General features: G+C 45.7%; 1 long non-coding RNA gene across 1 annotated transcript in view, besides 1 other annotated feature; it reads right to left on the bottom strand.

Annotated features, from left to right (window-relative positions):
• Positions 1-27,110, bottom strand: part of LOC105374945 (uncharacterized) — a 148,669-nt gene that overhangs the window by 56,859 nt on the left and 64,700 nt on the right. The window lies entirely within an intron of this gene.
• Positions 13,350-13,550: a silencer, noted in NCBI's record as "peak5675 fragment used in MPRA reporter construct". NCBI's record gives its function as "represses an SCP1 promoter by STARR-seq MPRAs in K562 erythroleukemia cells {active_cell/tissue: K562}" and the evidence as "EXISTENCE:reporter gene assay evidence [ECO:0000049][PMID:32103011]".

The raw sequence follows: 27,110 nt of genomic DNA on the forward strand, positions 1-27,110 counted from the left end.
TGACTCATTCATAAATCCTGCCCTGACTACCAGACGGTCAAGTTTCTTAAGGATGAGACCGTGCATATCTTTTCATTGCCTCTGCACAAGACGGAGCGCTAGGGCCAATAAAAAGGATTCATTGCTTTCATTGCAAATTTAGTAACAGGGTAGATATAATAGGAAAAAAAACTTTAAAATCTTAGAATTTGAACAAAAGTTCAAAAGTTCAGGACTTTGAGCAAAAGCATTTATTTATGCAAAATTCTTCCTGGTACTCCTCCCTTCTCACCACCAAAAATCCCTTAAAGTAGGTAATGTAAGGGGAGAAGCATGAAATTAAGATAGGCGCTGTGGAAAAAAAAGTGCTTTGGAGTTTGTCATATTCCGTTTGACAGTCTATCTGTAGGCAGAATGTTGACAGTTTTGGCAAAGGAAGACAGTTTGAGGACAGAAAAGATGAGCTGAGAATCCTTCCTTGCATTGCAGTTTAGATCACCATACTTCAGGTTAATCCCTTGCAACAGTAACTAGACATGCCGTTGTCAATCCAACCATCCACCAGCAAGCTTGCAGAAGTATCTTCACGATTCAAAAGCCACACGTCAGACCCAGTGGGCCTCTGCTTCCCCCATACTCCATTTGGGAACATTTGGTTGAACTTGAGATTTCCTAGCAGAGTGGTCCCCTTGTCAGTTCAGTGAGTTCATACGTTAAGTAGAGTCTGAGTAAATATAATTATGTATGATTTAAGATTTCTTTTTTCAGCCAGGCGCAGTGGCTCTTGACTGCAATCCCAGAACTTTGGGAGGCTGAGGCGGGCAGATCACCTAAGGTCAGGAGTTTGAGACCAGCCTGACCAACATGGTGAAACCCTGTCTCTACTAAAAATACAAAATTAGCCAGGCGTGGTGGTGCATGCCTGTAATCCCAGCTACTGGGGAGGCTGAGGCACGAGAATCGCTTGAACCGAGGAGGCAGAGAGGTTGCAGTGAGTCAAGATCGTGCCATTGCACTCCAGCCTGGGCAACAAGAGAGAAATTCCATCTCAAAAAAAAAAAAAAAAGATTTTTCGAAAGGAACCAACTCATGAAAATTTCATAGAAAGGAAATAGGAAATCAAGCGGAGGATGTAAAAATGTGAAGAATCATAGAAGCAAACGTGTTAAGTGGGAACTTCCTAAAGCGTTTTTACTTTCTCTGGTTATGTATTCTACTTATCACCAAAATTGAGACTAACAAGCTTCTGTTTTCCTTAGCAGATCTCCTGAAGGATGGAACCAAAGGAGGCAGTGTTCAGCGAGTTCTTTCTGGAAGCTGCTCTGGGCACATTTACCTCTCTCCAACCCACCTCAAAGGACAGCGAATACTGGATCAGTCCCGAAGGGTCTGGCAGCAACAAAAGGTGTTGACTACTCCAATGAAAGGGCTACTTAGCCCAAGCGCTGTACACACAGAGGTGTTTCTCCCCCAGCTCCTGCTGGCCAGCACCGATGCCAGGTCAGGCCCTTCAAACAAGCCCATTATATCCCCAGGAAAGAGGCGGGGCAGGCCCAGGTGGGAAAGGGCCCATGTTTAGACATCCACAATTCATCAAGCCAAAGGGAAAGCAAAGAAAATATTTAAACGACCGCTAAACCAGGGCAGCTGGGCCAGGAGACAAACAGCTGAGGTGAGCTGAGGGATCTGAGGGGCTTTCTACACCCCAAGAGCTGCTGGAAGATTAACTTTCCTTTCCTGTCTTCCCTCCTTCAGAGTCCTGCCTCACTAACTGGCTCTGAGAGACCTTCTAGAAGCAGTTGTGCTGATCATATTAGGTTTGTACAAACCTCAGAGCTTGTGTGCACTGCAGAAAGGCCAATGATCTGAAGGTGAAAAACAGATTTAGGCCATTTTTACAGCACAGCCAGCTTCCATGGCTTCTATTTTATCTTCCAGAATGAACGTTCTTTTTTTTAATTAGATACTGGGGTCTCACTATGTTGGCCAGACTGGTTTTGATCTCCCAGACTCAAGCAATCCTCCCACCTCAGCCTCCCAAAGTCCTGGAGTGACAGGTGTGAGTCACCATGCCCAGACACATTCATATTTTAGTTTCTAAAGATCAGTGAACGTTTCAAATATCAAGATCCCTTTTAAGTCAAATAATATCCTCAACAATCACATGATAATAATTGTATTTTAATTTCCTTGGGTGGAGAAAGCACATGGCCACAAAAGGCCACTGTCAATTATGTAATTCTTTTATCATAAATATGTATGATTTCACAACAGTCTTTTCAGATATTTGAAAAACTTAGAAGAAGACAGCCGGGCGCAGTGGCTCACGCCTGTAATCCCGGCACTCTGGGAGGCTGAGGCAGGCGGATCACAAGGTCAGGAGATCGAGACCATGGTGAAACCCCGTCTCTACTAAAAATACAAAAAAATAAAAATAGCCGGGTGCGGTGGCGGGCGCCTGTAGTCCCAGCTACTCAGGAGGCTGAGTCAGGAGAATGGCGTTAACCCGGGAGGCGGAGCTTGCAGTGAACCGAGATTGCGCCACTGCACTCCAGCCTGGGCAACAGAGCAAGACTCCGTCTTGGAAAAAAGAAAAAGAAAAACTTGGTAGAAGACATTATTCTGGCTGGGTGCGGTGGCTCACGCCTATAATCCTAGCACTTTGGGAGGCTGAGGCAGGTGGATCACCTGATGTCAGGAGTTCGAGATCAGCCTGGCCAAGATGGTGAAACCCCATCTCTACTTAAAAATACAAAAATTGACTGGGCGTGGTGGTGCATGCCAGTAACCTCAGCTACTCAGGAGGCTGAGGCAGGAGAATTGCTGGAACCTGGGAGGCGGAGGTTGCCATGACACGAGATTACGCCACTGCACTCCAGCCTGGGCGACAGAGCAAGACTCCATCTCAAAAAAAAAAAAAAAAAAGACATTTTTTTTTGCCATCTTCCACCTTATGTCCCATCAATCATCAATGTCACCCTCTGTCCCCTTGTCCCTCTTTGAGGATTCAATCTCGGGTTATCCTAGGGCCAGGGCTCAGAAATCCCAAAATACATTGTCACAGCAGACAGAGGCTTGAGGAGGGGCTTAAGGGAGGGGAATATTGTCTCACCCACTAACAATCTCCACTTGCTGGCTCCCACCTCTCTTTCTAAAAGCAGAGACCAGAAGCACAGCAGACACCAGAGCTGGAAGGGCTGGAGGAGTCTGCCCAAATGCACATGGTTTCCCAATGCCCACACATGAGGCGACTGCTAAAAGTCCTCGGAGATGAGGTTTGGGTTTTCAATGTTATTTTCTCAAGAACAGAGTAACCAAGTGAAATCTGAGATTCTCCAGTTAGAAAACTAGGAATCACTTGTGATATTTGGGGGACAGCAGTTTGGAATCATCTACTGAAAAAACTAAAGCCTTGAGCTGGATGTTAGGCACCCTGGCAGGGTAAGAAAAGATAAAAAATCAATAAAAATTTAAAAGTTCTGGCCAGGCACAGTGGTTCACACCTGTAACCCCAGCACTTTGGAAGGCCAAGGCGGGCAGATCACTTGAGCTTAGGAGTTCGAGACCAGCCTGGCCAACACGGTGAAACCGTGTCTCTACTAACAATACAAAAATTAGCCAGGTGTGGTGGCATGTGCCTGTAATCCCAGCTCTCGAGAGGCTGAGGCATGAGAATCGTTTCAACCCTGGAGACAGAGGTTGCAGTCAGCCAAGATCGCACCACTGTACTCCAGGGTGGGTGACAGAGTGAGACTCCGTCTCAAAAAAAAAAAAAAAACCAAGCAATCTTTTTTACATCCACTAAATCAAATGTCAGCTATTGAAATAAAGCAGTTGACAATTCAGGCTTTTGTGCAGTCTTAAGCAGGCAATCAATTAATATTTAAAGAATGAATGAGAAAGAAGTAGCCATGGCTACTGCCCAGATGACAACATGGGGATGCCCAAGTTTCTCCCCACAGTCTCTGTTCCTCCCTGCGTCGGGGACACCAGGGCCTGGGACAAATTTGATCTGGAGGTTGACGCGCGTCAGGGCCACGCCCACGCTCACTTCCCATCTTTCACCCAGGCAGATCCCAAAGCACTTGTCGAGCCACGCTGATGGATGGGCCTGGAATGGCCTTGTTTGCTGCCAGGGTGAGGCGCAGCAGCTGTTTAACAGCCCTGTGAGTGACCCTGGTCAGCACTTTCAAGGCAGGAAGCACAGAAGAATAGAGTCCACTTAAAGCTACCACAAAAGCGGTGGGAGGAGGGACTTCCTCCCCTTGTAAACAGGCCAGCAGGCTGGTCACTCTAATTACACATGTACAAATGAGGGAGAAGGGGGAAGGGAGGATGAATGGAAGCAAAACTGCTCTCAAGCAACCCTAGCGTGGCCCCTCGTTGCCCTCGAAGACAATTGAAACCTGCGACCCCGTGCACCTTGAACACAGGACACGGTAAGGTAAAGTCTCCACCCTGGGGCTTATGTGACAACATCCCAGCCTTTGCTGGTTTCCAGCTTTAGGAACCTTCAAGGATTCCTTTGGTCATCCTCAGAGGCCTCGGCAGAGCCTAAATCCTCTTCCTAATCCCTGCTGCTGGATGCCCTACTCAACTATACCCTCTGCTCCATGTCACTGTTGAAAGAAGAGGTGAAAAAAAAAGGAAGCCAAATTCAAATGGACTCTCACTGCCTCCTTTGACAGATCTGACATTTGTTTAAACAGGGCTAGGATGGGAGGGTCCTGTGCAGAAATGCAGCTTCTGGTGCACATATTCTACTTCTCCCATTCATCTGCTCCTTAGGGCACTCGTGACCCTGGTGCCTTTTCTCAGTCGGTTTAGTGAAATCATGTAAGATACTGGCCTATCACGTGCTGTGGTTTCTGAAGCAAGTCCACATTTTGCAAGACCGGAAGCATCTACAGTTTTTAAAATGCGAAGCGTTTACAAAATTATAAGTACAGATTAGTTGTGAGAACTTGAAAGGGGTCCATACAAGTGAAGGGTCCCAAAGCGTGTTTCATTAGCTTCTTGGTAAATCTGCTGCTGAGCATAAGGATGTGCATGAACGCCCCTTCTCCTTGAGTTTCGGCTTTCTGACAAAGTCCAAGCAAACTGACCCAAATCCAAAGTGTGTTCTAGGGAACCACTCACACCGTAAATGAGTCAGGAGGAACCGCCCTCTGAGTATGTTTCTTCTTTATTTTGCTTCCTCCCTTCCACCTAAATGCTGCAGATATTTATTGAGTCTGAGCCGGGGACTGCAGGAAGCTATCGGGTCTGTGTTGCCTGGTTTGCAAATGAGTGCAGCCCTGCTAATGAGCTCCTGGCCGGAGCAGGCAGCCTACTCCTGAGTCACTCCCCCTGGCAGGCACTGGACCAGCCTGCATCCCATGCCCACTGAATGCACGCACCAAATTACAAAAGAAAAGTAACAGCAGCAGTCATCTGCCCTTTCCTTTATATGAGAGCTAAAACTCCTGACTGAGGGGCCCTGGAACTTCTCGACCCTTAGCCACACCACAGCATACTGGGGTAATTCAGGGAAAAGAGCATGGGCTTAGGCCCAAAGATTTACGTGCTCAGCGTTGGTACTAACTGTGTGATGTGAGCAAGTCAGGAGGTCGTTCTGGGCCTGGATTCCTTCACCTGTGAAATGGAGCTGCAGAACTGAGCATCTCTGAGATTTGCTGTAGCCTGTGAATTCACGAGATTCCCATCTTGGGACTGGCCCTATTTATCTGAGCCATCACATTCCTTATACAGTTGCCAAGGCCTGTGCCTCACCAGAGCCAGCCTCCCTGGCTCCCACTGCCCGATCACCCTTCTTGCCCCAAACAAGACCCCTAGCTGATCAAGTTGCAGACAACTTTGTAACGAAATGGAAAAACAGGTGTTAGTGCACCAATTTTTGAAAGGGCATATTGAGACATGCCAGAGAGGCAAGGATTAAAGAATAGGAAAGGAAGAAAAAAACCAAGAACACAACTTTTTTGAGGAACTTGTCTTAGTATAGCCATGATGGCAATGTACAAAAAAATAGGAACACAAACGATTCAACACACAAAGAGGTCAGTGCCATGGCTGAGAGGAGGTATCCCCAGACCTGCTCGAGGGGGGCTTACATCTACCCAGCCAGAGGGGCAGGCTCCTGAGAGGCCAGGCCAGCAAGGAAAGATGCCCAGGGCCCATACCCAGCTCCTCTCTTCTTTCCAAAAATACACCACGCTCAGGTTGTTCCCAAAGCTCCAGGACAAGTCTCCAATTGCCTCCAGATTCATACCTGTACTTAACCTCTGCCTCTTAAATCACAAAGGGAAGAAGGTAAGTTCCTGTTCATTTTTGCTCTAAGACTCTGAAGTTCATCTCCCCCAGCCTTAGTCCCTTTGTATCTCTTGGTCTCCTTTCCCCTCTTCCCCTCTATACCTGAATGGCTCCTTCTGCTTTATGACCCCAGTAGGATTGCGACCTTCCTTTCCCACAGCCAGGGACATGTAAAACTATCCCTGTCCCCCCCTCTCCTCTTCCATATTCTTCAATGCTTTTGGCTCTGTTCTCAGGCTCACTCCAGCTCTCCCTCTCTTCACCCCACCCACCCGTCTTAATGCAATTCCTTGCAGAGGATGCTTCTCGAGGTGTTTAATAAACAGCATAGGTCATGACCTTGTCCTGAGGCCCCTTGTGACTGAGGTTTGTACAAATCTGATTTCATGGGCTGGTATTAAGTTGAGCCATACAAAATTGCCCTTATTCAACCATGTTGACGTCCAAAAAGAATGACAGTTTCGTAAGCCTCAATCTAATAAAAGAGCCTGGTATTCAAATATTAAAAACATATTATCTGACTTCCCACCTGCTCTCTTCCTAAATAGTACATATAAATTCAGAGTTGGGGGTGGGGGAAGAGAGCAGTGTGTTTTGTTTTCTGTAAAATGCAGTGTTTTTCAATTGCGGGCAATTTTGCCCCACCAGGGGATGTTTGGCAATGTCTGGAGATATTTTTGGTTGTAGCAGTGGAATGGAAGTGCTACCAGCATACAGGGGATAGAGGCCAGGAATGCTGCTAAACATCCTACAACGCACAGGACAGCCCCCACCGCCACCACCATGAATTCTGTATCCCAAATGTCAATAGCACCGCTGAGGTTGAGAAATCCTGGTGTCCAGCGCTACTGGGGACACAGAGCCTTAGCTGTACATTGAGTACCGCTACTTTGAAAACAGAGCTCCAGAACACATCAGGGAGGGCAGTGTGTTAGCCTCTGTCCTGAGGCAGGTCAGCACACCAGCTTCCCGCCCCCCAGGCCCACCTCTGGTCTAGAAACCTCCCCCCACACACCCCAGACCAGCCAATTCTCAAAAGGTTCTTCCTCCAGTTCTGCTCAGGAGCCTGACGTGATGGGCATTTTCTCAGTATCCCAAACCCCTGCCCAAATCCCTGAGTTAAGAACTGGGCTCCATTCCTGAAGCTCCCTGCAAGGGAAGGAAGGACACTCAACCGGTTCTTGCCACCCGACAGCATGCAAAGCTCTCCACAGGCAGTGATAGTCAGGCTCTAAAGACCAAAGCCCGCCCCTCCCAACCAGAAGAGAAAGCTCCCTCTGGCCAGCTGTGGTGGGCTCACGTTGCTTCCTGGAAGGGATTGAATGTCACTGCCCGTGATGGAACAGGGAGTTTCAGAGGCTCTGCAGCACAGTATCACTTACCCACCCCAGCTGCTGCCACTGCTCCCCACTAGGCAAAGAGCTCATCCAAAGAGCATGAGCAAACACAGTTCATGTTCGCTGAACACGAGCTATATTTGCCCTTAATATGCAACTGCCTTAGCTCTTTCCAGCTCTTTCTGTTGGCAGAAAGTCTGTATAAGGCTGAGGCACACTCACATTATTTGTGAACTTGAACCCAAAACACAGCCACAAAAATCACCCACTCAAAGCAATGGAAGGAATGTTGGGAATCATCTAAACAAGCCCAAATTGGAATTTCCAAAAATAACAGCATCAGAATATTTTGCTTCAAAAGATTCCTAATGAAAGAGACTCCTTGAACTCCTTGGAAAACCCTCCTTGGCATCACACAATCCTCAGAGGCAAAGACGTCTCCCTGCTGTCCCACCCTCTCCTGATCCAGCTGCAACTCAACACTTAGCAATAAAACAAGGGGGCGAAGGGGTGTGTTTCTGAAAATAAAACAGGAGACATATGATCCTGTTCCAATACTTAGTCTGTTCTCTGCTTTTCGGAACTTAAAACCTGCCTGCCGTCCACCAAATGACACAGAGTGCTGGCAGATGGAGAAGAGAGAGAAGGCTAAATGTATTTTAATAGGACCATTAGGATTATGTCAAAAGGTGAGAAAAAAGCACTTGCCAGCCAAGAAAATAAGCACTGGTCTCAAAGAAATATAGTGTGTTCCATCTCTCCCCCATTCACTCCCTCTTTGCTTTCTTATGAGAATCTAATTCAATAGGAGAGTCACTAGTCATGTGTAGCAGGCAAATGCATATTTTCTTAAGTCAAGCAATGTGGGCAGAAATATATGAAGGCAGAAAAAGAGTAGCACACTGGTATTGGGTAAGCCAAATGGGATCGGTCCAACTCTCAGACTAAAGCAGATTACAGAGTTATGACCTTACTCTTGACAAACAAACCAGTCATCCATATCTTCAACGCTAGTGTTAATAAAGAATCTCTTCTCTATGCTTCATAATACTGCCTATTAAGCCTTGGAAGTACACATAAAAGTTCAGAGCAGAACAGAGATTTTCATCTGAACCAGAAAATGTTCGATTTCTGGTTACTTTCTCAGACCTAACTCAACACCATTGAAGGGTAGACAGGACTTCAGTTCACTCCTGATTTTAGCAGATACCAGTGATTTAGTTCTCTATCCCAGGTAAGAAGCAGTTCCCCTGATCTTTGGCTTCTATTTGGTCTTCCTGGTGATAACAGTGAAAATAACCTACATTAGAATGGCTTTTTACCGTTCACCAGGCAATTTAACACACATCTCATGAGCTCCTCAAGGTAAGAAGAAAACCTGATATTTAAGTACGCTTACTATTCCCATTTCACAGATAAGGAAATTTCCCAAGAAATCGATGGGGAGAACCTATCTGTCATTGGTTGGGCTGGCAGAAGTCATCTTAGCAATTCTTGTGAAGAAACAGAGCCCCTTTAAGGGAGGCAGAGCTGCAACTAAAACGTAGCCATCTGGCCGGGCGTGGTGGCTCATGCCTATAATCCCAGCACTTTGGGAGGCTGAGGTTAGTGGATCACCTGAGGTCAGGAGTTCCAGACCAGCCTGACCAACATGGTGAAACCCCGTCTCTACTAAAAATACAAAAATTATCCAGGCATGGTGGTGGGCGCCTGTAATCCAGCTAGTCGGGAGGCTGAGACAGGAGAATCACTTGAACCCGGAGGCGGAGGCTGCAGTGAGCCAAGATCACGCCACTGCACTCCAGCCTGGGCGATAGAGCAAGAATTGGTCTCGAAAATAAATAAATAAAATAAAAATAAAACATAGGCATCTGCCTCTGCCCAACAACATTCTTCAGTTCCATAAATCTTACATTGCCTGGGTAGTGATTTGCTCTAAAATACTTCATTATTAACAATGTGATATTTGTGTGTGTGTGTGTGTGTGTGTGTGTGAATTATAATCTGTGCCCTAGAGATAGTTAGCATTTGATCTTTACCAATCACAGATACCCCAAAGGTGCTACAAGAGTGCATTAAAAAAAAACCCAATGAAGAGGCCGGGCACAGTGGCTCACACCTGTAATCTCAGCACTTTAAGAGGCAGGCAGATCACTTGAGGTCAGGAGTTTGAGACCAGCCTGGCCAGCATGATGAAACCCCATCTCTACTAAAAATATAAAAATTAGCCGGGCTTGGTAGCACCTGCCTGTAATCCCAGCTACACAGGAGGCTGAGGCATGAGAATCTCTTGAACCCAGGAGGCGGAGGTTGCAGTGAGCCAAGATCTCGCCACTGCACTCCCGGGTGACAGAGCAAGACTCCATCTCAAAAAAAAAAAAAAAAAAAAAAAAAAAGAAAGTCCACACCATAGGCTTCATTATTAGCATTAAAGATGACACTTTGTTCTTCCTTTGTGAAGTGGTTACAGTGCAACATATGGTTGAGAGAAAAATTGCTCAGGTACTACCACCCCATATGAATAAGGCATATGAATCCTGTAAGTCTTAATCTCAAAATTTTAAAAACAACATAGTGGGCCTTCAACCCTGCTGAGGCCTATGCCACCCTATTCACAGGGAACATTGTCACCTGATTCCAAGACAGGGCAACAATGTCACTTCAGAATGAACCTATGATGCAATGTACTTGTCCCTGTGCCAAAGGACAAAGAGTGCCACATCACCAACCTACAGGAACCTGTACATCAATGTTTGGTCTAAGACTTGGCTTTCGGCTGGGTGCGGTGGCTCACGCCCGTAATCCCAGCACTTTGGGAGGCCAAGGCAGGTGGATCACGAGGTCAGGAGATCGGGACCATCCTGACTAACACGGTGAAACCCCATGTCTACTAAAAACAAATAGCCGTGAGTGGTGGTGGGCGCCTGTAGTCCCAGCTACTCGGGAGGCTGAGGCAGGAGAATGGCATGAACCCAGGAGGCGGAGCTTGCAGTGAGCCGAGATCGCACCACTGCACTCTAGCCTGGGCAACAGAGCAAGACTCCGTTACAAAAAAAAAAAAAAAAAAGACTTGGCTTTCAACCTGACCATGAGGCTGTGGCTGTGGAGGATGGGCTGTGTAACCTCCACCTGTCTTTTAATTGCCAGAGGCTGCCAACATTGACCAGATGAATCTGACAATTGCTAAAATGCCATAGTGATCAGTTTACAACCAATATTAGGGACCTCCTGTGCACTCACAATGGCCTCGGCTCCGTGCAAGATGCAGAGATGGGCTAAACAGGACACAACACCGTAAGGCCTGGCAACCCAGGAGAGGAGTTAAGACAGTAAGCCCAGAGGTTAAGCACAGGAACTCCACACCCCAATTGGAAGTGCAAAAACAAATGTTAAAAGTATTCAGACGGCCAGGCGCGGTGGCTCACACCTGTAATCCCAGCACTTTGGGAGGCGGAAGCGGGTGGATCACCTGAGGTCAGGAGTTCAAGGCCAGCCTGGCCAACATGGTGAAATCCCATCTCTACTAAAAATTCAAAAAATTACCTGGGCATGGTGGTGGGCGCTTGTAATCCCAGCTACTCGGGAGGCTGAGGCAGGAGAATCGCTTGAACCCAGGAGGCGGAGGTTGCAGTGAGCCGAGATCATGCCATTGTACTCCAGCCTGGGCAACAAGAGCGAAGCTCTGTCTCAGGGGAAAAAAAAAAAGTATCAGACAAGCAAGAGACATGCCTGCCTCTGCTGATATTCCTGTCCCTGTTGCTCACCTGAACACTCTGGCAAACTAGAGAAAGAGTGGGCGTGGCCTGCAAAGGAGAGGTGGCGCAGGTCTGTAATCTTAGAGCTTTGGGAGGCTGAGGCAGGAGGATTGCTTGAGGCCAGGAGTTCAAGACCAGCTTGGGCAACATAGAGAGAACCACATCTCTACAAAAAATAAGAAATTAGCCAGGCATTGTGGGGCACACCTGTGGTCCCAGCTACTTGGGAGGCTGAGGTAGAAGGATCCCTTGAGCCCAGGAGGTCAAGGCGCAGTGAGCTATGATCCCACCACTGCACTCCAGCCTGGGTGGCAGAGGGAGACCCTATCTAAAAAACAACAACAACAACAACAAAAACTGGAAATCTCCCAGCAGCAGAAGGTGGTGGTGAAGAAGATAAGAACAAAAGAGAAGAAACTGACATGAAATCTTCTCAAAAAAGGATGGGTTAATGGGCAAGAGGATACTAGAATTGGGAAAAATCAGGAAAAATGGTCATCCACATACCACCTTCAAAATGTGTGCCACATCCAATTCTACCTGCCACTTTCATCTTTAAATCAATTCACATTTTATATTTAAATATTCTGATGTTAAGTACAAATTTTGAACACTAATGGGGAAGGGAAAAACCAATGTCACTTGCCATAAACACAAGGCAGCCAGAAAAATAAACATAATGGAGAAAATGTTCTAGATTCCAGCAAGCTCCTGAAAGCTGAGAGCCTGGGAATTGCTCCCTCTTTACTTACCAGAAGAACGATGATGAGGAAGAAGAAGAGAAAGCCGATAGAAAAGGAGAAGAAGAATTGGTGTCAGAGAAGTGTTCAAGACATTTTAGGACTAAGCTGAGGCTCTCTGATCTAATCAGTGGGCATAAAAGGGAATTGAAAGATACTGCCTTCTTGCTGTGCTATTTAGTATATTATTTAATTTCCTGGTGTGACCTCTTGCAGTCACCTCCGACTCCCATGTTAAGGGGTCCCTAGTTTCCCTCCAAGCTGGATGCTATCAAACAGAAGACCCTAAGCTGTCTTCCCAGGACAGGTAATCCACCCCAAGCACTTGGAAAAGAAAGGTACATCCTCTTCCACAATAACCACTGCACAGATTCATTTTCTTGTAAAATGCAAGGGCCATTTAGAAATAATGACGTGTATTCTTTGAAATAAGTACCAGATCAACTTTTGTCTTTTGTTTTTTCTTTTGAGACGGAGTCTCGCTCTGTTGCCCAGGCTGGAGAGCCATCATGGGATCTCGGCTTACCGCAAGCTCCGCCTCCCGGGTTCACGCTATTCTCCTGCCTCAGCCTCCCGAGTAGCTGGGACTACAGGCACTCACCACCTCGCCCGGCTAATTTTTTGTATTTTTAGTAGAGACGGGGTTTCACCGTGTTAGCCAGGATAGTCTTGATCTCCTGACCTCGTGATCCACCTGCCTCGGCCTCCCAAAGTGCTGGGATTACAGGCATGAGCCACCGCGCCCAGCCAGTACCAGGTCAACTTTTAACCCCAGAAATCTCCCTTTAAGATGATCTCCAACCCTTTGCAGCTGTAAAATCCTTTAATAATACATCAACTGATTGCGTATCAATTGGATCAGGATAGGAGAAAGCCCTGTTGAAGTCCCATTCTTCAAAATATCTGAAAGCAGGCATTAGGAGTTGACACTGGCAGGCAGTTGAGCAGGACAAAACCATAAGGAAAAGTCAGCAGAAGAGGATGAAAGTTTACCTTCTGGGAATGGCCAGGGGAGGAACCCATAGCAGATCAGATATAAGATTCAAATCACAGCCTCCCGGAGGTAGCCAAGTGGCCCCAACCCTGGAAACTTAGCACTTGGCTTTAAAGACTTATAATTCCCTGGTGCCAATACCAGATAAGAAAAAGGCTGATTGGCCCCTGGTTGGCCCAGTGAGTGGGTTAGAAGAGACACACCTAGAACCACAAAGTTAGGTGTGGCTGACGAATTACTAATACATTGAATAGGCATACAACTGGGCCCCACACCCCATCTTAAATCAACAATGCAAGACCTGCACACAGAGACTCAACCCCTCCCTCCAAAATGCCCTTTCCTCTCCTCCAAAACCCCATCACCCACTCTACAGATCTCAGCTGAAGCCCTGAGTGACTAATACACAGATTGGTTAGGACCACTTGCATTTAAATGCTGTCACTCAGAGTAAGATATTCTGTTATTTACTCACCAAATCTTTTTGGGTTGTTTTTTGTTTTTGAGTTTTTTGTTTTTGTTTTTGTTTTTGTTTTGAGACAGAGTCTCACTCTGTTACTTAGGCTGGAGTGCAGTGTCATGGTCTGAGCTCACTGCAACCTCCGCCTCCCTGGTTCAAGCAATTCTCCTGCCTCAGCCTCCCGAGTAGCTGGGACTACAGGCGCCCACCACCACACCCAGCTAATTTTTATATTTTTAGTAGAGACGGGGTTTCACTACGTTGGCAAGGCTGGTCTTGAACTCCTGACCTCAGGTGATCCACCTGCCTCAGCCTCCCAAAGTGCTGGGATTACAGGCATGAGCCACCATGCCTGGACTCACCAAATCTTTTTGGCAGGTTACTGGGAGCCAGGGGCTGTGCTGCCTGCTGTCTGGTGTTCTCAAAGACTTCCCAAGCCACAGAGAGGTCTCAGTAAGGACACAGGTGTATGGGAAGAAAACCTTTTTACCTCTACCCTCCTAGGTTATTGACTAGTGCCCTATAAACTAAGCTGATAAAAGACAGATTCATGAGAGAAAAACCAACAGGAGTTTGTAAACCTGTGCATCTTCCTTACATATGAGAGCACCCAGTGAGGAGCAACTCACAGGGGTGGTTAGAATTTGGGGTCTACTGGCCAGGCACCGTGGCTCACACCTGTAATCCCAGCACTTTGGGAGGCCGAGGTGGGTGGATTGTTTGAGGTCAGGAGTTCAAGACCAGCCTGGCCAACATGGTGAAACCCCGTCTCTACTAAAAATACAAAAATTAGCCAGGCATGGTGATGGGCGCCTGTAGTCCCAGCTACTCAGGAGGCTGAGGCAGGAGAATCACTTGAATCTGGGAGGTGGAGGTTGCAGTGAGTCAAGATTGCGCCATTGCACTCCAGCCTGGGAGACACAGCAAGACTCTGTCTCAAAAAAAAAAAGAATTTGAGGTCTATGTACCTAACTTACTGGAGGAAGGGTTGGGGAGAGAGGGCACTAATGGAAAAGCAAATGACTTTTGGAAGGAGAAATGGGCTCCTAGGAGAATGGATGAGAGATTTGAGAGTTTGATGACAATATCTGTTTGGGTGTGGTGCTGAGTTCTAGACTCTGAGAAGAGATTACTGAGTTGCTCTTGGGAGGGGATTTATGACAATTGAGTTTTTTTGAGAGGCTCTGCCTTTTGGAAGATAAAAGATTTTGGGGGGACTGAGCACGGTGGCTCACACCTGTAATCTCAGCACTTCAGGAGGCTGAGGCAGGAGGATCATTTGAGGCCAGAAATTCAAGAGTAGCCTAGGCAATATAGCAAGCCCCCATCTGTTAAAAGAAAAACTAGAAGACGAAGAATTTATCTTAAATGTTTTAAAAGACTTTTTATTTCTTTTCTTTCTTTTCGTTTTTTTTTTTTTTAATAGAGACAAGGTCTTGCTATGCTGCCCAGGGTGGTCTCAAACTCCCGGCCTCAAGTGATCTTCCCGCCTCAGCCTGTCAAAGTGCTGGGATTACAGGTGTGAGCCACCATGCCCAGCCTAAAGATTTTTTTCTTTCAATCCCTCCAGCTCAATTCTTCTGTCAAAGTGGTATATTTGGGGAGGCATGCCCTAGTCCCCTCTCAGGCCAGGCCTGCTCCCTCCAGCTGTCACACAAACACCTCCCAGGCGCTCCACACAGGGGGCCTGCCAGCCACAGCACCCCAGAGAAACTTCAGGCTCACAGAGAGGGCCCCCTGTCTTGACTAGACCGAGGCAGGGGAGGGTGTAGGTGACTTCACCGGAGCTTCATGCACAGAATGTTGGACTCCTCGTCCCCTGAGATATGGTGTTATCTATGACAGGCCAGAGGGCCACTTTTCCAGGGCCAAACAGAGAATTTCCACTCTCTAGCCTGTCAGGCCAACACCTTTTGCCAGCTTGAGGTTCATAGACTTTCGAAAAGAAAAAAAAAGAAAAGAAAAGAAAAAAACCAGAAGAGGCCATATGCATGCCTCCCACTCACCCACCCTAGGAAAAAGGGAAGCCTTTTATTCTCCTTATGCCAAACTGTGTTTTGCTGGGAGAAGCTTCTTTTCACCAAAGCCTCCAGGCTCTTTACCAGCCAGAGTCAAACAAAGAAGCTCAGAGAACCATGGAACAAATAAACCAAAACAGCCCACAGAGAACAAGGAAAGGAAAGCCTCCGTTTCCAAACGGAAGCCAACTTCCATCTAGCCTGTCTCACTGAGCCTGGCCTGGCACAGCCCCTGATGAAGCCAGCAAGGGCTGCACTGTCTTCTCTTTGCAGCCTCTGAGAGCCTTGTGAGTGTCAGCCTAAAGAATCCATCCGCAGGACGGGTCTTCTCTCCCCACCCCCCTTAAAATTATTAACATCCACTTAAAAGAAAGGGGGCGGGAGTGGGGTGCAGGGTTTGCCCTCTTTTCAAATTGCTTGAGAAGGGAGTACTGCTTATCACAACAGGTGCACTGGCCACTCACAAAAAAACAGGCAGTGCAGCGCTGAAAGGCTAAGAAATTACTTGTTCTCTTTGTAACGGCTGCTACTACATGCCATGCAAACCCTGCTTTGGAGAGATATTGTGTTCCTGTTTAAAAAAGAAAGAAAGAAATATAGCAAGTGGAAAAAAGTTTAAGGGTGCCAAGGGCTAAGGGGAGGGGAGAACAAGGCTGAGGGTGGGAAGGCCAGAGGGGGAGGGCTTGGTGTTCCGAGGCAATTGAGGAAAAGCAATGGGGCCTGGTGGCTGGACTTAAAAGGTGTGTGTGTGGCTTGTTTTGTTTTGTTTTGTTTTGAGACAGGGTCTTGATCCATCACCCAGGCCGGAGTGCAGTGGCACGATCTCAGCTCACTGCAACCTCTGCCTCCGGGTTCAAGTGATTCTCCTGCCCCAGCCTCCCTAGTAGCTGGGATTATATGTGTTTACCACCACGACCGGCTAATTTTTGTATATTTAATAGAGACAGGCTTTCGCCATGTTGGCCAGGCTGGTCTCGAAACCCTGACCTCAGGTGATCCACCCACCTCGGCCTCCCAAATTACTGGGATTACAGGCGTGAGTCACCATGCCCGGCCAAAATGATCTGTCTTGAACTTTCCAGAAAACTCTGGGAGCACACCCCAGGTCCCTTCGGCAGGATGGGAGGGATAATTACACCCAAGCTTGCAAAACGCACACATCAGGGTGACCAGAGAAAAGTCATAAGGAAAGGATACCCCCTGTATATTTTTAAAAATTAGATAAAAATATTGCTCAGAAACTGTGTTGCACACCAGGGAGGATTTCAACCCCCAGTCAGTCACTCCTTAAGTGGGAGTGTGTCTTCAAAACTATATTCCTCAAATGACTGTTCAGCCAGGCAGGTGACTTTTATGGTGTTGGCCAAGTGACCTTGAGCTTCTGAGTCTCCCAACCCTCTGACATTCTCATCCTGTGCTCTCAGACCTGCAGAGAGGACCCAGCCAGCTTCATGGGGACAAAGCAGTGAGGGAGTTGCTCTCCCCCAAGCCAAGTGCAGACTGACAGGGAAGATTTGGATTTTCTTCCCCTTGAGAAAATTGCCATAAGAATCTGGAAGAGGGTTATTTGTTTTGTTTTAAAGTAAAAGCAAGACAGTGGACGTCATGGCCTAAGAACCTGTTCCCTTGCCAGTTCGGTCTCAACTAAGCAATCAGAAGATAGGGCCACCAGCCACAAAGCAACTTGGACATTGGAGTTTTGCAATGATTCTCTGATTAAAAGGAGCGACCTCGACCTGGCTGTAAGACATGGAAGAGCAGCCATGATAGGTTATTAAGGTCAAAGAAAAAGTAGCAGTAGTGTGGCGAGCATGAATCCATTTTTGTTTACTATATATTGATCTTTTTTCTTTTAGTCTTGCAGAGAAATCTGAGAACCAAAACCCTCTAACTAAGCATATAGCTTTGGATGCTGAGGACTAAAATGACCCCACCACACCTCCCACAAACCCCCAGCTAACATGAACTTGACTTCACTGCTCCATCATCCTCATTAGCATGATTTTCCCATTCCTGCAGACTCTAGTGGTAACTGTCGTGATTGTCCATGACAGGAACTTCCAGAAGGCTCATTAACTCTTCCATGGAAAACAGAAAACAGATGGTGTGAGCCCTAAAATGTTTGAGCCCCTCACCTCAGAATCCTCACCTCACTGTTTCCATCAATCCTGGACAATTGCATCATGATCCTTACCCAATCCTAATCAAGCCTCCACACTGCAAAGACATGCCTTAAACTAAATTTCCGCTTCTCAATCCATTTCCACCTTGCCACCCACTCCGGAGACACTGTCAGAGCTGTGACTAAGTGGTGTCTCCCTGACCACAGTAAACACAGGTTTGTGTTGGTGACATTGGGAGACCCAGCGTTCCACTGAAGGGTCCCTGTGAAGAGTCTTTTTGTTTAATTTTATTTTTTCCAAACTCCCCTCTGCTGCCTAAAAGCAGAGCCTCCCAAAAGAATTCATCTGTCAGCCAGGCACAGTGGCTCACACCTGTAATCTAAGCACTTCAGGAGGCCGAGGCAGGTGGATCACCTGAGGTCAGGAGTTTGAGACCAGCCTGGCCAACATGGTGAAACCTTGTCTCTACTAAAAATACAAACAAAATTAGCCAGGTATGGTGGCAGGTGCCTGTAATCCCAGCACTTGAGGAAGCCGAGGCAAGTGGATCATCTGAGGTCAGGAGTTCCAGACCAGTCTGGCCAATGTGGTGAAACCCTGTCTCTACTAAAAATACAAAACAAAACAAAACAAAACAAAACAAAAAAATTAGCCAGGCATGGTGGCGCACACCTGTAATCCCAGCTACTCAGGAGCCTGAGGCAGGAGAATCGCTTGAACCCAGGAGGCAGAGGTTGCAGTGAGCCGAGATCACACCACTGCACCCCAGCCTGGGTGACAGGGCAAGACTCTATCTGAAAAAAAAAAAAAAAAAGAGTAGACTTTGACATTCCAAAGGGGTGTATACCCAGGTCTTCATAAATTCTCATATTCAATTTCTCCCATGAAACTTCTAGTCTTTCTAAGAACAATATTCATCAAATCTCCTCACTGCATTGGCAGCACTAGTGGTTACATTTTTTTCTAGGGCCTTTTTTTTTTTGCCTTTTCTTTTTCTTTTTAAATTAATTATTAGACTTTTTATCATTTTTAAATATTAACTTGATAACTGTACACATTTATGGAGTACAATGTGATATTAACATAATTGTACATATTTATGGAGTACAATGTGATATTTCAAAAAATGTATACAATGGGTAATGATTGAATGAGAGTAATTAGTATATCCATTACCTCAAACGTTCATCATCTCTTTGTGTTGGGAACATTAAAAAATCTGCTCTTCATGGTGGCTCACGCCTGTAATCCCAACACTTTGGGAGGCCGAGGCAGGAGGACAGCTTGAGGCCAGGAGTTTGAGACTAGCCTGGATAACATAGCGAGACTCTGCCTCTTCTTTTTAGCCAAAGTGGTGTCTCACACCTGTAGTCCTAGCTACTTTGGAGGCTAAGATGGGAGGAACACTTGAGCCTAGGAGTTCAATTTTGCAATGAGCTGTGGTTGTGCCACTATACTCCAGCTTGGGCAACAGACAGACATCTTGTCTCAAAAAAAAAAAATTAATTTTTAAAAAATCTGTTCTTCTAAGTATTTGAAAATATAAAATAAATTATTGCTAATTATAGTCACTCTGCAGTGCTGTAGAACACTAGAACTTATTTTTCCTGTCCAGCTATAATTTTATATCCATTAACCAATCTCTGGCTAATCCCTCTTTCCTCTTACCCTTCCCTGCCTCTAGTAACCATTATTCTATTCCACTTTCACGTGATCAACTTTTTTAGCTCCCACATATGAGTGAGAACATATGTGGTCTTTATCTTTCTGTCCTGGCTTATTTCACTTAATATAATGCCCTCCAAGCTCATTCATGTTACTGCAAATGACAGAACTTTGTTCTTTTTATGGCTAAATAGTATTCCATTGTATATTATAGCACATATTCTGTATCCATTCATCTGTTGGTGGACACTTAGGTTGATTCCATATCTTGGCTATTGACAATAGTGCAGCAGTAAGCATGGGATTACAGATGACTCTCTGACACGCTGATTTTCTTTCCTTTGGATATACCCCCAGGAGTGTAATTGCTGGTCATATAGTAGTTCTGTTTTGGGATTTTTGAGGAATCTCCATATTGTTTTCAATAATGGCTGTACTAATTTACATTCCCACCAATAGTGGGAACAAAGAGTTCCTTTTTCTATGTGTCCTTGTCAGCATTTGCTATTTTTTGTGTTTTTTATATTAGCCATTCTAACAGCAATGAGATATCTCATTGTGGTTTTGATTTGCATTTCCCTAACGATAAGTAATGTTGAGCATTTTTTCATATACCTGTTGGCTGTTTGTATGTCTTCTTTTGAGAGATGTCTATTCAGCTCATTTGCCCATTTTTTTAAATCAGATTTTTTTTTTCTGCTGAGTTGTTTGAGTTCTTTGTAAAAACTGGATATTAATCCCTTTTCAGATGAACACTTTGCAAATATTTTCTCCCATTCTACAGATTGTCTCTTCTTCACTCTGTTGATTGTTTCCTTTGCTGTGCAGAAGCTTTTCATTTGATATAATCCATTTGTCTATTTTTGCTTTTGTTGTCTGTGCCTTTTTTTTTTTTTTTTTTTTTTTTGACGGAGTCTTGCTTTGTCCCCAGGCTGGAGTGCAGTGGCGCGATCTTGGCTCACAGCAACCTTTGCCTCCCGGGTTCAAGCGACTCTCTTGCCTCAGGCTCCCGAGTAGCTGGGACTACAGGCACGCACCACCACGCCCAGCTAATTTTTGTATTTTTAGTAGAGACGAGGTTTCACCATGTTAGACAGGATGCTCTCGATCTCTTGACCCCATGATCCACTCACCTCGGCCTCCCAAAGTGCTGGGATTACAGGCGTGAGACAACGTGCCCGGCCTTGTTTTGTTTTTAGCTCCAAGAATTCACCTGGATTGTTGTTTGTGCTTTGGAGGTCTTCTTTGCCCAGACCAATGTCTTAAAACATTTCACCTATGTTTTCTTCTACTAATTTCATAGATTGGGGTCTTACATTAAACTTTATCTTTTAGGACTGTTTTATTTATAGAAAAATTGAGGACACAGTAAAGAGAATTTCATATATCCCCCATGCTCACCACACACCCTGTTTCCCCTACTATTAACAACTTGCATTAGTATGGTACATTCATTACAACTAATGAACCAATACTGATACATTATTATTAACTAAAGTCCGTACTTTATTCAGATTTCCTTAGTTTTAACCAAGTGTCCTTTATGTCCTTTTTCGGTTCCAGAATCCCTCATAGGAAATCATGTTTAACACACACACACACACACACACACACACACACACACACACATATACATATATATACTTTTTTTTTTTTTTTTTTTTGAGGCAGGGAGGCAAGGTCTCAGTCTGTCACCCAGGCTGGACTGCGTTAGTCCAATCACAGCTCACTGCAGCCTCGACCTCCCAGGCTCAAGCAATCCTCCCACCTCAGCCTCCTGAGTAGTTGGGACCACAGGCACAAGCCACCACACCCGGCTCATTTCTGTATTTTTAGTAGAGACAGGGTTTTGCCATGTTGCCCAGGCTGGTCTCAAACTCCTGGACGCAAGCAGTCTTCCTGCCTCAGCCTCCCAAAGTGCTTGGGATTACAGGTGTGAACTACCATGCCCAGCAACCACATTACATTTAATTGCTCTGTCTCCTTAGGCTCTTCTTGGCTGTGAAAATACATCAGACCTTCCTTGTTTCTGATGACGATGGGATTTTTGAAGAATACTGGTCAGGTATTATGTAAGATGTGCCCCTGTAAGAATTTTCTGTTTTTCTCATAATTAGACTAGGGTTATGAGTTTGAAGGAGGAAGATCCCAGAGGTAAAGTGCCATTTTTGTCATATCATATTAAGGACACAAATGATCAGCCTGATATCTCACTGCTGATGCTGATTCTGATCACCTGGCTGAAGTTATACTTGACAGATTTTTCCAAAGTTACTCTTTTTTCTGCCTTTCTGTAACTGTCGTCTTTGGAAAGAAGTCACTACGAGCTGGTCACACTTAAGGAGTGGGGAGTTAAGCTTCCCCTCATTGAGGGCAGGGTACGTATATAAATTATTTGGAATTTTTCTGCACAGGAGGTTTGGCCCTTCATCCGCATTTATTAATTTACTTAGTCATTCACTTATGTTCATATGGACTCATGGATATTTACTTTATATGTTGGATTGTAATTCAGTATTGCTTTATTTACTTTGCTTCTCAAATCGTTGCAACTTTCACCACTGGGAGCTCTTTCCTTTGGCCCCTGTGACCCTTTGACATACCCCCCAATATCGTGGGTACCCAGGGAGGTTTTGGTTTTGGGCTTTTTTGGTTCTGTTTTGTTGAGCACTGCCTTAACTTGCAGGCACTGCAATATGTTCCATCTCATCTTGTATATTTCCTGCCCCAGCCATAGAATCAGTCATTTCTACAAGGAGCTCCAGGGCCATTTTTCACAAAGAATTTGAGTTTCCATCACAAAACAAAAGAGTTACAGTGCAGACAAGGCCAGTAGAGAATAAAGCAGAATTGAGAGGCTGATGAAAGCTGGATGATCCATCTGCTGGGCACCCTCATTAGACTGACTTTTGCTGCCCACACCCCACCCTTATCCTGGTGGCAAATGTGATTCAAGTTCATGCCTCAATTTTTTTTTTTTTTTGAGATGGAGTTTTGCTCTTTTTGCCCAGACAGTAATGCAATGGCGCGATCTCGGCTCACCGCAACCTCCGCTTCCCAGGTTCAAGCAATTCTCCTGCCTCAGCCTTCGGAGTAGCTGGGACTACAGGCGCGTGCCACCACGCCCAGCTAATTTTTGTATGTTTAGTAGAGACGGGGTTTCGCCATGTTGGCCAGTATGGTCTCGATCTCCTGATCTTGTGATCCAGCCGCCTCAGCCTCCCAAAGTACTAGGATTACAGGCGTGAGCCACAATAATTCTTTTGACTTATCATTATATAGCCCATTTCCTCTGGACTCTATTAGGAGCAATTGAATTCTTGCTAAAGAATGAATGACTGATATCCTAGAGTTGGCTTCCTAATTACGTATGTATTTTAATAAAGATCTGTGAATTTTTAAAGAAGCCCTAAGGGGAGCATTTCAGACAGTAAGGCAGTATAGTAGGAGACATTTTTGAGAAGACAGGCTTTTTCCTATTGTGACAGTAAAATACAATTATTTCAGCAATAATTATTATAATAATATAAATAAGAAATATAAGGCCGGGTACAGTGGCTCACACCTGTAATCTCAGCACTTTGGGAGGCTGAGGTGGGTGGATTGCTTGAGTTCAGGAGTTCAAGACTGGCCTGGGCAACATGGCAAAACCCTGTCTCTACAGGAGTGTCCCACAAAAAAAAAATTTGTAGTGCTTGCCTGTAGTCTCAGGTATTCGGTAGGCTGAGGTAGGAGGATCACCCAAGACAGGGAGTTTGAGGCTGCTGTGAGCTATGATGCCACCACTGCACTCCAGTCTGGGTGACAGAGTGAGACCCTGTCTTGAAAAAGAAAAGAAAAGAAATATAATACTATGAACCAGTTTCTATTGTAAATTGTTAGTGCCTCACATATACTAACTCAGTTAATTTAATCATCATAACAAGCCTACGAGGTAGATACTATTATCATCCACATTTCACAAAAATTAAAGCAACTGAGGTTCAAAGAGGTTAAAAACCTTTCCCAGGTTGCACAGCTTGTAACTGGCAAAGCTAGGCTCTAAATGTAGCCATTCTGGCTCCAAAGTCCATGCTGTTAAACAATATACTGCCTCTGGATACCATAATTTCTATAGTCAGTAGACCTGGAGCATATTTAATATTAATTTCTACATATATTGATTAAGGATCTGTCCTTGGCCAGGTTCTATCTCAAACAGATGTTAGAAGAGTGCATTTTTTTTTTTTTTTTTTTGACAGTCTCGCTCTGTCGCCCAGGCTAGAGTTCAGTGGCGCGATCTCGGCTCACTGCAAGCTCCGCCTCCCGGGTTCACACCATTCTCCTGCCTCAGCCTCCTGAGTAGCTGGGACTACAGGTGCCCGCCACCATGCCCGGCTAATTTTTTTGTATTTTTAGTAGAGACGGGGTTTCACCGTGTTAGCTAGAATGGTCTCAATCTCCTGACCTCGTGATCTGCCCGCCTCGGCCTCCCAAAGTGCTGGGATTACAGGCATGAGCCACCGCGCCCAGCCGAGGAGTGCATTATTCCACTGTCGCATGCATATTCAAAGGCTCACACTCAAAGCCCTGTACAATGTCTTCCTTTTTCAGCCTCAAACATCCCACTGCAACCCACATGTATCAGCCACAGGGGCTTGTGGGCCATTCTTCAACATACCTTTGTGCTCTCCTGCCTCTAAGTGTTTGTTCAAGCTGCTACTAATAGGTCCCTCCTTTTCCTACTACTCTGGCGAAATTCTTTCGTAAGGCCCAGCCCTAGTCCTGCCTTCTCCATAAAGTTTCCTGAGCCCCGGCCAGACGCAGTGGCTCACGCCTGTAATCCCAGCACTTTGGGAGGCCGAGGTGGGCAGATCACCTGAGGTCAGGAGTTTGAGACCAGCCTGACCAATATGGTGAAATCCCATCTCTACTAAAAAAACAAAAATGAGGCCAGGCCCGGTGGCTCATGCCTGTAATCCTAACACTTTGGGAGGCTGAGGCGGGTGGATTGCCTGAGCTCAGGAGTTTGAGACCCGCCTGGGCAACAATGGCGAAACTCTGTCTCTACTAAAATACAAAAAATTAGCCGGGCGTGGCAGCGTGCACCTATAGTACCAGCTACTCGGGAGGCTGAGGCAGGAGAATCGCTTGAACACAGGAGGCGGAGGTTGCAGTGAGCTGAGATCGCACCACTGCACTTCAGCCTGGGAGACAGAGCGAGACCGTCTCAAAAAAAAAAAAAGTTTTCTGGGCCCTTTGATGAAATTTCTCTCTACTTCCCTTGTACTTATATATATTGTCTCCGTACATCTATTATAGCTGCCTCATGGATGATGAGCTTCTTATAAAAGATAGTATCTTTTTCATCTTCTTACATCTCCAGCACTAGCACATACATACAGAACATGGTCAAATATAGTGAGAGCTCTAAAATTGTCTGCTAAAATGGATAAACAGCATACATTGGGTGCCCACTGGGAGCCTAACCATATCTTAGAGAAGATACACTTCCACTTTTCAAGGAGCTGATGGCCTAATCGAAGAGCCACAGAGAAAAGAACAACCATCCAAACTACGCTGATAGGCAGCAAGATAAAGCTGTCCCGTTGCTGAAACATAGCAACTAGACACAGAAGAGCCGGGATTTAGTCCTAGCTACAATGCAAACTGTGTGCACTTGGGAAAGTAGTATTATTCTTCTGAGCCTCAGTAAAAGGGGGACTGACGGTGTGCAGGTTTCTCGCAGTTCTAATACCTATGATTAGTCTACGAGCAGATTGGCAATTGCCAAGAATGCTTTCTGAAGAGCGTGGTAGGGTTCAGGACAGGCTACCCCAAAATATGGCACCTTGACATTTGAGAAAATAGCAGAAGGAGGAAGGTCCCTCTCCCCTTATCCCCACTGCCCTTCTCCCCTGAAGCAGGTCATGAGACCCTCATTCAAGAGGTACCCTTGCTGTATCCTGAAGAAAGGAACATCCTTGTCTCTGAAAACACAAGGACATGGAGAAGAATCTAACTAACAGGCCTGGCTAAGTTTCCCCCAGTTTATTATCCCTTTGTCCAATCATATTTCTGCAAGACCATCTACTTCATCTAATCTAAGCATAACAATATGCAAGATTACCTGTTTCTTGGAGTCTTCATTTCTGAGGTTGCTGTATCATGTAAAACTTTTTTATTTTATTTTTTTAAATAGAGACAGGGTCTCACCATGTTGCCCAGGCCGGTCTTCAGCTCCTGGGCTCAAGTGATCCTTCCACCTCAGCCTCCCAAAGTGCTGGGATTTCAGGCATGAGCCACTTCACCCAGGCATATAATACCGACATCAAATAAATTTGTATGCTTTTCTCCTATTAATCTGTCTTTTATTATATTATAAGGGCCTCAGTCATGAACCTAGCAATGGGTGAGAAAAAGAAATCTTTCCTCCACTATGAGTGCATCCTACAAGAGAGATGTGGCAAACTCTAACTCCTGAAATGAAGGTGCCTTGGAAGCAACTAATTATCATACAAAATGAAATCAATAAAATATGAACACATACTCGAAGTCACACAGTATTATAATGACAGATCAAGTGGAGAGGGGAAAGTCTAGATGCAGCCCAGAAGGCGAGCTGGGAAGGAAGCAATGATTAGGGTTTACCCATCCATGAACCTGGCCACAGTCACACCATCATTAGAATGACACACTCAAGGCCAGAGCGCAAGTGCCACCTGCCCTTCACTTAGCCTGAAGTCTCCCTGACACCCTCCCAGCTACTTTCACTCTCATACCCTGAAAACTGAACAACATTCTAATGACTAGTTTTGCTTTCCAGTTTCTGGTGTAATGAGACAGAGGAAATTTTTCTTCCTTAGCAGCTGGAATAAGACCTCCTCTTAGGGACAGTCCTATATTTACCAGGAAGAAATCCACTGATTAGCCAGATGGGTTGAGGAATGAGATGCCAAGCAATAAACAATAATGCCGATCTGCTTTCTCGGGAATTCCCAACACCTTAGGGTCTTTTATTTTGTGAGCATTTCAGTGGGTTTGAGTAGGTAAACTTGACTATGAATATGGTCACAGTTAAATTGCTCTGCATAATGAAAATGTAAAGAATTTTAAAATTACAGGAAAGGGTCAGGTGCGGTGGCTCACGCCTGTAATCCCAGCACTTTGGGAGGCCAAGGCAGGTGGATCACCTGATGTCTAGAGTTCAAGATCAGCCTGGCCAACATGATGAAACTCTGTCTCTCCTAAAAATACAAAAATCGGCTGGATGTGGTGGCAGGTGCCTATAATCCCAGCTACTTGGGAGGCTGTGTCAGGAGAATCACTTGAACCCGGGAGGAGGAGGTTGCAGTGAGCCAAGATGGTGCCATTGCACTCCAGCCTGGGCAACAAGACCAAAACTCTGTCTCAAAAAAAAAAAAAAAACAAAAAAAAAAACAACTTACAGGAAAGTCAGGAAGCGGGTGCAGGGCAGAGGGAAGGAAAAGAACAGGCAAAGAGATTAGGCACTGAGTGGAATGGAAGGGGCTTTGAAGAGAACAGAAATATCGAATGCATTTTAGGTTGTTTGCTGTTGAGATTTGATTTCAGTCCCCTTCTCTATCTCCCCTACACAGCACATTCACTAAAGCATCTGCTGCTCTTTTAAAGAAGCTGTGGAGAGGCTGGGCGTGTTGGCACACGCCAGCACTTTGGGAGGCCGAGGTGAGTGGATCACCTGACGTCAGGAGTTCAAGACCAGCCTGGCC

This window comes from Homo sapiens, chromosome 6 (assembly GCF_000001405.40).
Source record: "Homo sapiens chromosome 6, GRCh38.p14 Primary Assembly".
NCBI lineage: Eukaryota > Metazoa > Chordata > Mammalia > Primates > Hominidae > Homo > Homo sapiens.